Here is a 15,345-nt window from a genome sequence, read left to right as displayed (position 1 = left end):
AAAGATCTGATGTAAAGCCTCAGCTTCCTGCTAATGTCCAAATATTTCAAGAGAAGTCACATTAGGCCGTTGAGATGAGAGACATGAGAGACTTTCCAAGGTCCCCCGGCTTAAATAAGTGGCCCATGAAAATGAGGTTCCATATAGTTTAGCAGGCTGATTGAACCAAGAAGACAACAAAAAGAAATAGAAGCAACTCTCAATTATATCACTGTTTGATTTTTGTTATGGTGTTTTCCTATTTATTTTTGGTTTATGTTACTGTCTGTTGCTATTTAATAGAACATAAACTTCAGGTCAGGTGCAGTGGCTCAGGCCTGTAATCCCAGTACTTTGGAAGGCCAAGACAGGCATATCACCTGAGATCAGGAGTTTGAGACCAGTCTGGCCAACATGGTGAAACCCCATCTCTACTAAAAATGCAGAAATAGCCGGGCGTGGTGGCACATACCTGTAGTCCCAGCTACTTGGGAGGCTGAGACAAGAGAATCACTTGAACCCAGGAGGTGGAGGTTGCAGTGAGCCAAGAGCACCATTGCGCTCTAGCCTGGGTGACAAGAGTGAAACTCTGTCTCAAAAAAAAAAAAAAAAGTAAACTTCAGGAGAGCAGAGATTTTGCCTATTCAAAGTTGTATCCCTTAGTTCCTAGAATAGAACCTGGCACAAAGTAGGCAATAATAAATGTTGAATTAATGAATAAATGAATGATCATATTCAACTTTCCTTTGGAGATAACTATTATTGTCTTTCATTTTACAAATAATGAATCTAGAGTTCAATGAGGGTAAATAATTTGTTCAAGGCACAAGTCTAGGATTTGAACCAGATCTGTCTAACTAAAAATCCCTATGCTTTCTAATTCCTCATGCCCTTCACCCCTCTTGATGGAGTGTGAGGCCTCAAGGTTGATGTATGTGCTTCAGGGTAGTTTCAGGGCTGGCATAAAAAGTATTTTCTTTGGCCGGGCACAGTAGCTCATGCCTGTAATCCCAGCATTTTGGGAGGCTGAGGCGGGCAGATCACTTGAGGTCAGGAGTCTGAGACCAGCCTGACGAAGATGGTGAAACCCCGTCTCCACTAAAAATACAAAAAAGTTAGCCGGGCGTGGTGGCAGGCACCTGCAATCCCAGCTACTCGGGGGTCTGAGGGAGGAGAATCGTTTGAACCCAGGAGGCGGAGGTTGCAGCGAGCCGAGATCGCACCATTGCACTCCAGCCTGGGCAACAGAGCGAGAATCCATCTCAAAAAAAAAAAAGTATTTTCTTCTAACTTTATAAGAATGCAGCTGGTTAGAGAAAGCTGTAGCTATTGCACAAGGTGGAATAACTTTAGCCCCACAATCACACCAAGACTGTGCTGGGCCTGGCTGTCAGTCAGTGACATTGTGAAAGCCTAGCATTTTGCGAGGCCTCAGGGCAATCTGCCACCCACCACAAAGGCCGTCATGTGGAAAGAGCCAGTTCTGTGGCATACTGGTTTAAAGACTGTAATTGAAAAACATTCAATCAGAAATGCCTTGAGGCTAGTCTTTTTCCCAGGACAGAACTATTACTACTTAGACCGAAATAACCAAATAAATGCGATCATTTCCTCCAGGGTACCGTAGCTACAGGTCAAGCCCCTGTTAGCATGTGAGTTGGGATACTGAAACAGGCCAAATCACTTAATTTATCTTAAATATGTTTAAGCATGGCCATATATTTTTGCTTAATTATGATTTTTAAAAATAATCTTAACTGAAGTAACCAAGCATAAGCACTGTATTTTGAAAAATAAAGATTGGAGCAAGATGGTAGAGTGAGCACGCCCTGCAGCAATGTACGCCATCCCCAAACCCCTAGAAATGGCAAGAAAGGAGAACATTTCTTTATCTTTTTTTCTTTTTTTTTTTTTTTGAGATGGAGTTTCACTCTTGTTGCCCAGGCTGGAGTACTATGGCATGATCTCAGTTCACCGCAACCTCTGCCTCTCAGGTTCAAGCGATTATCCTGCCTTAGCCTCCCGAGTAGCTGGGATTATGGGCATGTGCCACCACGCCCCGCTAATTTTGTATTTTTAGTAGAGACAGGGTTTCCCCATGTTGGTCAGGCTGGTCTCGAACTCCCGACCTCAGGTGATCCACCCCCTCGGCCTCCCAAAGTGCTGGAATGACAGGCGTGAGCCACCGCGCCTGGCCAGGAGAACATTTCTTTATCTCTTCTGAAGGTATGGCTACGGCTGTACTTCTGAAGTATCTCAGATGATAATTTAAGTATCTGGTTTGCTACTGCATGATTTGGACTGTCACCTCCTGCCACCGACCAGAAGGCCATCATGATTCAAGCGCAGTCAATGCAGGTAGGCAACCCTGAATTCATACTTTTTAAAGCCTGTGTCCTTGGACTACCCCCAATACTAAAAAATTGTACTAGTCAAGGTACAATAATTTTAGAAAGGCTGGAGAAGCAAAGGGAGATGATATTGCCTAAAGACCAGGAATCGGTGACTGCTCCTGGACCATAGCCTATGAGCCTGCGCTTACTGCATGTCTTGCTAGCTGCTCCACCATTGCCACTGAACAGGAGCCACTGTCACCGCCACTGCCAAGGGCGCTCACTGAAACACAACAGCTCCTCCCTTCTTCCCCACTTCAGTCTTTTCACGGTTGTCTCCCATGTGCACAAGCTAACTGGTACCCATCTGGCAAAGGAATGTAGGATGTGTCATTTCAGGCATCAAGCTCCAGGAATACAAAAGGGATTATGGAGAGGTGAATGGAGGGCTAAGTACTAACAGACATGATCTGGCATAGGTCACAATGTCAAAAAAGAAAAAGTGACACCCAAGGTAACAAAGCTAATAGAAAAAAGGGTGAAGCTTAAGAATAACTATAATTATTATATCAGAAAGATGTCATAGGAATGAGCATACATGAAAATAATTAACGTCTAGTCTGCCCACAGTAGGAAGTGAAAATAAATTTCTGTCTTTTTGTCACTAAGTTCATGGTGATTTGCTATGGCAATCTTAGGAAACCAATACAAGGATCTAGGGCCAGTGAAGAGTTCTTACATATGACAACAAAAGCACAATCCACTAAAGAAAAAAATGAAAAGTGAGATTTCAACAAAACTAAAACTTTTGCTCTGTGAAACATCCTGTTAAGAGGAGGAAAAGGCAATATATGAATTAGAGGAATGTATTTGCAAACCATATTTGAGACAAGAGATTTGGATCTAGATTGTATAAAGAAATCTCAAAACTAAATGGTAAAAAAAAATTCAATTAGAAAATGGACAAAGGACATGAACAATTATTTCACCAAGTAGGAAACACAAATGACAAACAAGCACATGCAAAGATGTTCAGCATTATTAACCATTACGGAAACGCAAATTAAAATCACCATGAGATATCACTACATGCCTACTAGAATGGCTAAAATTAAAAACAGGAATACTATAATGGTACATACATGTAGATGCATACAATTGTCAAAACCCACAGAATGTACAACACTAGGCCAGGCACAGTGGCTTATGCCTATAATTACAGCACTTTGGGAGGCTGAGGCAGGCAGATCAGCTGAGGTCAGGAGTTGGAGACCAGCCCGGCCAACATGGTGAAACCCCATCTCTACTAAAAATACAAAATTGGCCAGGTGTGGTGGCACGCACTTGTAATCCCAGCTACTTGGGAGGCTGAGGCAGGAGAATCACTTGAACCCAGGAGGCAAAGGTTGTAGTGAGCCGAGATTGTGCCATTGCGCTTGGCCTGGGCAAAAAAGAGAGAAACTCCATCTCATTAAAAAAAAAAGAGAGAGAGAGAGAGAATGTACAACAGTAAGTTAATCCTAATACAAACTATGGACTTTAGATGATTAAAAAGAACAAAAAGATGTGGAGAATAGAGAACACAAACTATTTTGAATTAAAAATAGTGAGAATGGCCAGGCACAGTGGTGCACGCCTGTAACCCCAGCACTTTGGGAGGCAGAGGCAGGTGGATCGCTTGAGGTCAGGAGTTTGAGACCAGCCTGGGCAACATGGCGGAACTCCACCTCTACTAAGAATACAAAAAAAATTACCCATGAGTGGTAGCACTCACCTGTAGCCCCAGCTACTCAGGTTGCTGAGATGTGAGGATCGCTTAAGCCTGGGAGGCAGGGGTTGCAGTGAGCCGAGATAGTGCCACTACACTCCAGCCTAGGCAACTGAGCAAGACCCTGCCTCAAAAAAAAAAAAAAAAAAAAAAAAAAAAAAAAAAAAAAAAAAGTGAAAATACTAAATTTGGGAAAGAATGCGTAAAAATAGATTACTCATACTTTGCTGGTGGGAATGGAAAATAATGCAGCCACTCTGAAAAGTAGTTTGGCAGTTTCTTTAAAGATTAAATAGCAGTAACACTTCTGGGCATTTATCCCAAAGAACTAAAAACTATGTCCATATAGCCAGGCTCGGTGGCACATGCCTGTAATCCCATCACTTTGGGAGGCCATGGCGGGCAAATCACCTGAGGCCGGGAGTTCGAGACCAGCCTGGCCAACATGGTGAAACTCTGTCTCTACTAAAAATAGAAAAACTACCCAGGTGTGGTGGTGCATGCCTGTAATCCCAGCTACTTGGGAGGCTGAGGCAGGAGAATTGCTTGAACCTGGGAGGCGGAGGTTGCAGTGAGCCGAGATCACGCCACTGCACTCCAGCCTGGGCGACAGAGTGAAACTCCATCTCAAAAAAAAAAAAAAAAAAAAAAAAAACTATGTCCGTACAAAAACCCGACATAAAAATCTGAACATCCCTGTACATATATGTCTTTGCTCATTTGTAAGTAAATATTTAGGATAAATTTCTAGAAGTGGAATTGCAGGGTAAAGAGATATGCACATCTTAAATTGTACTTATTGTAAACTGAATCTCAAGAATCCAGTATTGATTTATATTTCTCCCAATGTAGGATGAGAGTGCCCATTTCTCTATATCCTCAACAATACTCAATTCTGTCAAATTTAAATATCTGGTATTCTAATAGATTGTGTTAAAAGTGCCTTATTTTTATTTGTATTTCTTCTATTATATGTGATTAAATGTATCATATATTTATTGATTATTTGTATTTTTTCCTGGAATTGTGTGTTTCTTCCCTTGTCCATTTTCCTTATTGAATTATTCTTATTAATTTTGAAAATCTTTTTATTAACACATAATGTACATATTTTTGGGATACATGTAATAATTTGACACATTCATATAATGTGTAAAGATCTAAGGAGGTCGGGTACAGTGACTAACGCTTGTCATCCCAGCACTTTGGGAGGCCGAGGTGGGTGTATCACCTGAGATCAGGAGTTCAAGACCAGTCTGACCAACATGGTGAAACCCCATCTCTGCTAAAAATACAAAAATTGGCCAGGCATGGCTGTGGGCCCCTGTAATCCCAGCTACTTGGGAGGCTGAGACAGGAGAATCACTGGAACCCAGGAGGCGGAGGTTGCAGTGAGCCAAGATTGCGCCATTGCACTTCAGCCTGGGTGACAGAATGAGACTCTGTCTGGAAAAAAAAAAAGTAATTAGGGTATTCATCACCGGCAATATTTATCTTTTTTAATGCTAGGAACATTTGAATTGTTCTCTTCTAGCTATTTTGACAGGTACAATAGATTATCTTGAACTATAGTCACCCTACTGATCTATCAAACACTTAGGTCTTATGCTTCTACCTAACTCTATATTTGTACCCATTTCAACCTCTCATTGAATTATTCTTATTAATTTTTAAAAGCTCATTGTATACCAAAGAAATTAATTCTTTGTTATATGTTTTGAAAATTTATCTATCTTTTCACTTTAAAAAATGTTTCATATAAAAATTTTGGCTTGCTATGCAGCCTAACTTATTAACAGTTTACTTTTTGTCTTCTGGGTCTCATGTTTGGTCTGAAAAGACTCCTCCCATTCCAAGGGGTTTTTTTGTTTTTGTTTTTTTCAACTTTTATTTTAGATTCAGGGGTGGTACATGTGCAGGTTTGTTACAAGGGTATATTGCATGATGCTGAAATTTGCATACGATTGAACCCATCACTCAAGTACTGAGCATAGTACCCAATAGGTAGTTTTTCAATCCCTGTCCCCCTCCCTTCTCTTGTAGTCTCCAGTGTCTATTGTTTCCATTTCATGTCCATGTGTACTCACTTGGCTCCCACTTATAAATGAGAACATGTGGCATTTGCTTTTCTGTTTCTGCATTAGTTTACTTAGGATAATGGTCCCTAGCTGCATCCATGTTGCTGCAAAGGCCATGATTTCATTCTTTCTTCTGACTGTATAGTATTCCATGGTGTATATGTACCACATTTTCTTTATCCACTCCTCTGTTGATTAACACCTTGGTTGATTCCATGTATTTGCTATTGCGAATAATATTGCGATGAACATACAGGTGCATGTGTCTTTTTGATAGAACAATTTATTTTCCTTTGGATATATATCTAGTAATGGAATTGTTGGTTTGAATGATATATATATTTTTAGTTCTTTGAGAAATCTCCTGCTTTCCACAGTAGCTAAATGAATTTACATTCTCACCAACAGTGCATAAGCAATCCCTTTTCTCTGCAGCACTGCCAACATCTGTTATTTTTAATAATAGCCATTTTGACTGGTGTGTGATGATACTTCACTGTGGTTTTGACTTGCTTTTCTCTGATGATTAGTGATGATAAGCATTTTTTCATATGATTGTTTGCCACTTGGATGTCTTCTTTTGAGGACTGCCCAAAAAGTAAGCAAAGGCCATAAATGGGGTTATTTGTTTTTTGCTTGTTGATTTAAGTTCCTTATAGATTCTGAATATTAGACCTTTGTCAGATACATAGTTTGTGCATATTTTCTTCCATTCTGTAGGTTGTCTGCTTACTTTGTTGATAGTTTCTTTTGCTGTGCAGTCAAGGTTACTTTTTAAAATATGTTTTCTTTTTCAGCAGTAAAGCTCAAATAAATGTTTTCTTCTAGAGTGTCCATGATTTCTTTTTCTTTTAATTATTTTATTTTACCAAACTTTAATTATTTTCTTTGGCAAACAAAATAGAATTAATCAAAGGCTGTTTATTCAAAACTTACTGTTATAAGGGAGTCAGCTGCCATCATTTTCATTATAGTAGAGGTTGGAAGGGGTTTGAAAGGAGAGTAAGTTTTTTTGTCTTATTGTTTGTTTGTTTGTTTTGAGATGGAGTCTCACTCTTGCCCAGGCTGGAGTGCAGTAGCACGATCTCAGCTCACTGCAAGCTCCGCTTCCCAGGTTGAAGCGATTCTCCTGCCTCAGCCTCCTGAGCAGCTGGGACTACAGGCACCTGCCACTACTCCCAGCTAATTTTTGTATTTTTAGTAAAGACGGGGTTTTACCATGTTTGCCAGGCTGGTCTCGAACTCCTGACCTCAGGTGATCCACCCGCCTTAGCTTCCCAAAGTGCTGGGATTATAGGCGTGAGCCACTGCGCCAGCCTAGAAGAGTAAGTTTTACAGACTAAAAGGAGGAAGACTTAAGCCAATCTTTGGTGAGTGTTCTTTCATGGTGACATATTCTAGTTCCAATCGGGTAAAAGATACTTGGAAGGGAAGGAGTCTTTCTGGTTGGCTTTAAAGTGTATGTAGTAGTCTTTGATTGCTTCACAATCTATTGGTACATAAGGTGGGGGCTTTCCAGGCTGCATGACAACTGAAAGACAATCTGGTTCTCAGCTTTGGAGTCTTGCATAAGCAATTCCTTCTTCAAGAGGGAATTAAAGGGAAATCTAGCTATATATATATATATATATATATATATATATATATATATATATATATTCTTAGTTAGTGGACTCAACACCCTCCTTTTTAATGTATATTTATCTTTTTGGTTCTATTTTTTAAATGACTTTTTCATATACCCATTTTTCAAATGCATTGGGATCTCTTTCAGGATTCTCTACTCTGTTCATTATATGTGTTAATCCCTCACCAAGAATATGTATGTTCTTGGCAAATGAAAGGAACATCATGCAAAGCTATCAGATAATTTGGGATAGCTTTACAAAGCTATCTGAACGTTTATCCATTAATAAAGCTTGATACTAGAGTAAATATATAATTAGGGGATTCTGTTTTGTAGGACTTTCCACTCTCATATTGACATAGAGCCTGGCACACAGGAGGACTCCATATATGTTGGCTGAACACAGTCAGTCAGTCCTCACTTAATGTCATCAATAGGTTCTTGGAAACTTGGACTTCAAGCAAAATTATGTAAGCAGGTCCTCAAATAACGTTACTCAGTTACAACATTGATGAGAAATTTCAAAATTGATTTCATTATACATGATTTCACTTAAAATTGCAGTTTCCAAGAACCTGCTGATAACATTAAGTGAGGACTTACTGTACAGAAATACTAGTGTGGTAATGGGAACTCTGGACTAGGAGTTGGAAGACCTGGCTTCTAGCCCCTGCTCTGTTGCAGGCTGGTGGGACAACTATGATACACATTAACAGACTTGTAGCTGTCAGAAATAATGTAGAAATGGCCTCCCCATTAGGGACCACAATTCCTACCCCTCCTTGAAGGGAGGAGTGACCACATGATTAAGTTTTCACTAATGGAATGTGAGAGAAAGTGATGTGTGCCACTTGCAGGTTGAGTCTTAAAATATTGCACATGTAATCCTCAGTCCCCTTCCCCTATCTGTGACCACAGATACGACTGTAAGTCAGTTTTGACCATGCAGATAAAGACATTGTTCTAGGGCATGATGGAAAACCCAGATAGAAGAATCTTGGGGACCTTGAATAACTGTGTGGAGCAAGCGGTCTTCCTACTGAATTCAAAGAGTCTGGGAAATGATGGGGTTAGCAAAAGTATGCAGATTTCCTTCCTATAGAATTTCTTTGAGCCTGGATAAATTTTTTTTTTCCTATAGAACAACTTGAGGGAGAAAACTGCTGATCTCTTGTATTCTCTTGCTTGTTCTGAAAAACTCTGGAAATGCTGATTTGGATGATTTCTACTTCCTTTAAATATTGCATACTGCACAGCTAGTGTTTAGTTTGTATTCACAACACCACCAAATGTGCAGAATCAAAGGTGCCTTTAATCCCACCATTCCATCCAAAGCATGTTACCTGAGTCCCTTTGGGGGACAATAGCAAAATTATAACACTATAGAGGACATGAAGAATTTTTCCAAAAGTTTTAGGAGACTATAATCTCATTGTTCTGTATTCTTTCTCATCTAAACAAGTGAAAAGATGACCAAAGTTTTACCCACAGAAGAGTCATTCGTTTATTTTCTTACTTTCAAGGGACTTTAAGAATGTACCACAACAACAATCCATTTCACAACTATTTCCTGAGCAGCTACAGTGAACAAGGACCTGAAGAAGAAGACACAATATCCACTGGACTGGAATGGAAAGACAGACTAGACAGAGTAGATATGCTCCACAGCACCTGGGACAGCACCCCAGAAACATCCAGCAATGACTGGTATTGGAATGGCTCCTCTGGTCACCCACCTGCCATGTAAGATTTGCAGAGGGTTCCTCCTGTGAAGCGTGGGAGGTTTGGGCACTTCGCAACCTGCCAGCACCATCCAGTATGGACATTTTCATAGATCCAGAAAAGGGCTGAGGTCCAAAAGATTGAGAGTGCTTCGGGCTGTGTTTCCATAGTGAGTGGCTGGCTATTCAGTGGTCAAATGCGTTTGAGAGGAACCAAGTGATGTGCTTCCCAAGGCAAGTGTCCAGAACCCAGGAGACTCCTCTGTTCAGCAATGGCATGAAACATCTGAGGTTCTTACATATTCTCGCACAGAAATGGATTCCCATAGAGAAACGGATATATTGTTATAGGATAATCAGAGATGCTGTTGTAGCCCATTTGAGCTGCTATAAGAAAATACCATGAACTGGGTGGCTTATAAACAACAGAAACTGGCCGGACGCACTGGCTCATGCCTGTAATTCCAGCACTTTGGGAGGCCGAGACGGGTGGACTACTTGAGGTCAGGAGTTCAAGACCAGCCTGGCCAACATGGTGAAACCCCCTCTCTACTAAAAATACAAAAATTAGCCTGGCGTGGCGGCGCGCACCTGTAATCCCAGCTAATTGGGAAACTGAGGCATGAGAATCACTTGAACCCAGGAGTCAGAGGTTGTAGTGAGCCGAGATCACACCACTGCACTCCAGCCTGGGCAATAGAGCGAGACTCAGTCTCAGAAAAACAACAACAACAACAGAAACTTATTGCTTACAGTTCTGGAGGCTGGGAAGTCCAAGATCAAGACACCAGTAGCGAAGGCCTTCTTTCCGGTCCATAGGTGGTGCTTCCTCACTGTGCCCTTACACAGTGGAAGGGGCAAGGAAGTCTCTCCTCCTTTATAAGGATAATAATCCCATTCATGAAGGCTCTGCCCTCATGACCCGATCGCCTCCCTATGTCCCCACCTTCTAACACCATCATCACCCTGGGGGTTAGGATTTCAACAAGTGAATTTGGCGGGGACATAAACATTTAGACCATAGCAGAGGCTAAAGCAGAGAAGTCTGCTGAAGAACTTTTTAATGCATTGTAATGCGTTCAGTGTGTTAAGTTAGTCACATACACACACACACACAGACACACACACCCCAAGACGGAATGCATAGGTGTGTATTATTAAAAGTGTGAAAATACACCACCGCAGATTGTGTAGGACCATTTTTTTTTTTGGACCTGGTAGACATGTCCATTGCTGTTAGTGCAGCAAAGGGCTCTGTGTGCTTTTAAAAATTCCAGTCTGTTACATTCACAAACCTGGGTTGGATCTACAGCAGGTTCCCCCTTTGGGAAAGGCATCCTCATGACCTTACAATGGTTGCTGAATATAGTTGGAGGCAGTCATGGTTGGTGATGCCCGGAGCCCACTCCTCACCATGCTGGTCTGCAGAACTTATGCAGCCATTCCCACAAGCTGGTCTCCTCTGCTCTGCTCTTCTCCACCTCCTTTTTCAGCTGAAGTCTCCTGTGTTTCACAGCTTGCTGGTATCAACCCTCCTTCATCTCTACATATGTTTAAGAAGCAGGAGTGAAAAGGCGAAGGAAGGAGGGACTCATCTTCAATAGACAAATGAAAATAAGGGTGGGAGAAGGAGAAAGTTGGGAAGGCGCTTAAGATATCCAGAAATGTCAACTGTGTTAGGAGAAACATGGGACTCCTGAGGTTGCTCCCTACTATCTTGCAGACTTGCTGCAGGAACAAATGAGGCAGGATGTGTCAAGCACCAGGGTCAGCCCTTAAGCTTAGTGCCTTTCTGAACCCTGCAACCCTGCAGCCCCCATCAACTCGTCCTACCTGCCATGCACAGCTCCTCCGTGCCCCTGTACCTGAGCTCATGCTATTCCCTCCGCCAGGGTGCCCTTCTCATCCTCCACCAGGAGAAGACACTTGCCTGTAAGACCCAGTTCCAGTGTCACCCCTTCCTGACTGTATCAGGAAGAGTCAGTGATGGTGTTCTGTGCTCCCAGAGAATTTGCCACATCGTGTTGTGATTCTGTTTCCACATCTGTCTCCCCCACTGGACTGAATGCTTCACTCATCTTCATACCTCCCTGGTCTCTACCTGGTGCCAGACCCGTCCTCAGGGAAGGAGAGTGCTCAGGAAATAGGTATTGAATAAAGGGAATGTGTACATACATACATACGTACATACATATGTACATACATATGTAAACTTTCTGATGGTCAAATGGAAAAATGTGGGCTGAAGGATAATACAGGTAGAAGAACCTAAGATTACAGATTATTGATTTGGGAGGAACTTTATTTTATTATGCAAACAGTCTACAACTTCAAAACATGAAAGGCACTGTGTTGTTAGGAAGGGCAGTGGGAGAGGGTGGCCCCACAAAACAGCATAAAGTTCTAAAGAATTTGAAAGAGGAACACTCTGCAGGACACTGTTCCAAGGACCCCTCCCTAAGAGTCTGTCCCTTATTGGGAGGAACTTTATTTTATTGTGCAAACAATTAAAAAAACAGTTTACAACTTCAAAGCAAGAAAGGCACTGTGTTGTTAGGAAGGGCAGTGGGAGAGGGTGGCCCCACAAAACAGCGTAAAGTTCTAAAGAATTTGAAAGAGGAACGCTCTGCAGGATACTGTCCCAAGGACCCCTCCCTAAGAGTCTGTCCCTTATTGGGAGGAACTTTATTTTATTGTGCAAACAATTAAAAAAACAGTTTACAACTTCAAAGCAAGAAAGGCACTGTGTTGTTAGGAAAGGGAGTGGGACAGGGTGGCCCCACAAAACAGCGTAAAATTCTAAAGAATTTGAAAGAGGAACGCTCTGCAGGATACTGTTCCAAGGACCCCTCCCTAAGAGTCTGTTCCTTAGGCTCTGCCCGTTTTTGGCCACTTTGTCAAAGGGCTTCTTTGTGAACAAAGTGAGACATGTTATTTTTGTTTTCTTAAATTCTAAAGTGATCCTCTCAAGTCTCCTGGGAGAGACTCCTGTGAGGTGTTCGTGACCCACTCCATTCCAGAAACAAGACCAGGAGACTGAAGATTCTGCCAGATCCCACATGTAGTGAAAAAATGAAATCACCCCTAACCATTCCAAAACTGACTGAATCCTAACGGAGCTCTACGTAACTCCAAAGCAAGTGTGCTGGGATGGTCCTCAGCTTTTACATCCCCCTGCCCCCCACCCCCACCCCCGCCCCTGCTCTGTGGTGCAGGGTCACGATGGGCTCCTTCCTGTGCTCCTGGGTTCCTGTCAGCGTTCTAGCAACAGGTCTCCACTCTGAGAATGACAGGTGGTGTCAGTAGCAGCAGTTGGTTCCAGCTTGTCATTTTCCCAGCACTCCCATAACCAGCCTGATGATGCCCATTCAGAGACACCAGCACGAGCTGGCCATGTCCCCTCCCGAGTTCTGCATCCAGCTCCCAGACCCCAGGCTCTGAGCAGTGTCTCCTCCGCAAAGAACAACCCCAGCCCTGGGGCCATCTTCAGACTTCTGAGTTTTGATCATTCCAACTTCTTTTTGTTCCCTTAGCTCTTGAGGTAGTAGCTGCTTCTTGCAGTTGAAATCTCCATGATATCTCAATATCATCCTTTTTTTTTTTTTTTTTGCCTTTTTAGTTCTCCAATAGTTGTGTGACAATTCCTTATATTAAATTTTCTGTTAAAATAATTGGTGTGGGGTCTATTTCAGTGATTGGACCCTGACTGACAGCAATGTTAAACCTAAGAAATTCTGAAAGTAAATACACCTTAAAACTAAGTAAGTAAAAATTAAAAACAGAAAAGTTAATTTGCAACTTATGAAAAGAAAACATGACAAGTCTGAAGATAACTAAAAAACTAAACAGATGCAAACCTCTGACGAAAATTCTGAAAATCGGCAGGCCGCAGTGGCTCACACCTGTAATCCCAGCACTTTGGGAGGCCGAGGCGGGCGGATTACCTGAGGTCAGGAGTTCGATACCAGCCTGACCAAGATGGTGAAACCCCCATCTATACTAAAAATACAAAAATCAGCCGGGCGTGGTGCCACATGCCTGTAATCCCAGCTTCTCGGGAGGCTGAGGCAGGAGAATTGCAGGAACCTGTGAGGCGGAGGATGCAGTGAGCAGAGATTGCGCCATCGCACTCCAGCCCGGGTAACTGGAAAACTAATTTTTAAACTAACAAATCCAAACGTAAATCTCTCAGCAGTTACCTTGGAACCACCCCCTCTGAATTAACCTGTCAGGTGCTAAGTGGCTTGCACACCCGGTCCACTGCCAGGCTGGGCAGCCGGCGCTGGCGGGTGGGAGCAGCCCCGAGCCAGCTCCGGCTCCTCCTAGGCTCGGCCGAGCCTTAGGAGGCGTGGCCTCCGCGAGCGTCTGCCTCCGCCCGCCGCGCTCGCGCAGGCGCACTAGGGGTCCCCGTCCCGCGAGGTCCTTCGCCGGGCGGCGGGAGCTAGACGAGCACGCAGGGCACCCCTCGGGCTCCCGGGAGGCGGCCCTGGGCGTCCCCTTTCTGCCGCCGCCGCGGCCCCGGCTGCTTTCTGCGTAGCTGGGCAGGGCCCGGGCCCCCACATCGCCTCTCTCGGGAATGCGGGCGCTCTGGAGCCGGGGAGCCGGGGCGACCGCAGGGAGGGCAGCTCTCCGGGGTGGAGGTCCTCGGGCGCCGCGCCCTCGCCTGGAAACCAGCCGTCGCCCCCGCAGGAGTCAGCCGGCGTGGACGCCCCAGCACGCTCCTTCTTGGTGCTGCCGGTCGCCCTGCAATTCCGAGAAGAAAGTCAGAGACGCCGTGGCCCACAGAGGCGCTTAGTTTTCCTCGCTCACACTCACGTTGCTTCCTCATCGCGTTCTTCTTTTTCTCCCTGGGTGCTTTCTCTCCTCTCCAGGAAAGCGGATTTGGAGGAACAGGTTTCGTGACTGTCATCCAACTGGAAAAGGCCCCGCGAGCTGGAAGGGGGGGCGGGGGGGGGGACGGGTGCACCCTCAGAGTTATTGCTGGAGGCTGTGGCCAGGCCGGGCAATGTGGTGACTTCCGCTGGCAGGCTGAGGCCCACCCCAGCCCTCCCACCTGGGCCACGGGGCTCTCAGCGGGAGCCCCAGTTATGACCGGACACCAGCGCACCGCCAAGGAGACAGCCACGTGGGGACATGCCGGGCTAGCAGGGTCAGAGCCACTTTGAGGACTAGTGACCTCGGTTCCCTGGCTTAACCAGGTCCTTATGGGTGAGAATCCTGAAGAGGGGGAGAGGGATGGAGGCGAGGGACAGTAGGCAGGAGGAGCTGATGAATAGGAAGGAGGAAGAAGATGAAATAAACAAGAAAGAAAGAAATTACGTTCAGAGCGCTGCTCACCTTTTCCATGTCTTCTGCACCTTCATAGCCTTCAAAGGTGTCCATGGAGCTAAACTCCCTGCTGGAGCAGCCTTGGGGAAAGAAAGGAAAGGATGGGGCCTCTCTGGGGTGGGAGGACAGCCCCTCTGCCCATGGCAGGGTGTAGCAGGCAGTGCCTGTTGCAGGCGGGGTCCTCCCCATCTCTAACTCCTGCTCTCCCAGGGCCTGCACTCCGCTGGGCTGTGAAGGGAGTCTGATTTTTTCAGGCTCTTTCCAGCGCTGAAATGCCTTAATTCACTGAGAAGAAGCGTCCACATGCTTTTCATGGCCCTACCTCCCTGTTCGTCCAAGAAAACAGTCGTCTTTTTTGCTTGCCTGTCTTCTAACCATGCCTCCGTCCCTTCTTCCTCCCCTGTCTATTTCCCACCCTCCTCCCCTTCTTGCCTCCTTTTCTTTCCCGTAATTAATGTCCATTTCCCATCTCCCTGGCAGCCTCTGCCAAGTGTCACTGCTCCCCATAAGG

General features: G+C 44.3%; 1 pseudogene, besides 5 other annotated features; it reads right to left on the bottom strand.

The window, feature by feature from the left end:
• Positions 1-1,456: part of a biological region, named in NCBI's record as "adiponectin enhancer region", that runs on past the window's edge. NCBI's record gives its function as "regulatory_interactions: ADIPOQ".
• Positions 1,299-1,456: an enhancer, noted in NCBI's record as "adiponectin distal enhancer". NCBI's record gives its function as "enhancer in adipocyte cells" and the evidence as "EXISTENCE:reporter gene assay evidence [ECO:0000049][PMID:18931025]".
• Positions 1,309-1,316: a protein binding site, noted in NCBI's record as "CCAAT box 2". NCBI's record gives its function as "required for transcriptional activation" and the evidence as "EXISTENCE:protein binding evidence [ECO:0000024][PMID:18931025]".
• Positions 1,383-1,389: a protein binding site, noted in NCBI's record as "CCAAT box 1". NCBI's record gives its function as "required for transcriptional activation" and the evidence as "EXISTENCE:protein binding evidence [ECO:0000024][PMID:18931025]".
• Positions 13,873-14,112: a silencer, noted in NCBI's record as "silent region_14988". NCBI's record gives its function as "represses an Ori minimal core promoter by ATAC-STARR-seq in GM12878 lymphoblastoid cells {active_cell/tissue: GM12878}" and the evidence as "EXISTENCE:reporter gene assay evidence [ECO:0000049][PMID:35858748]".
• Positions 14,129-14,917, bottom strand: MCF2L2P1 (MCF2L2 pseudogene 1; annotated as a pseudogene).

Source organism: Homo sapiens, chromosome 3 (assembly GCF_000001405.40).
Source record: "Homo sapiens chromosome 3, GRCh38.p14 Primary Assembly".
In the NCBI taxonomy this organism is placed as follows: Eukaryota; Metazoa; Chordata; class Mammalia; order Primates; family Hominidae; genus Homo; species Homo sapiens.
The sequence above is the reverse complement of the archived record's forward strand: the minus strand, read 5'-3'. Positions and strand labels throughout refer to the sequence as shown.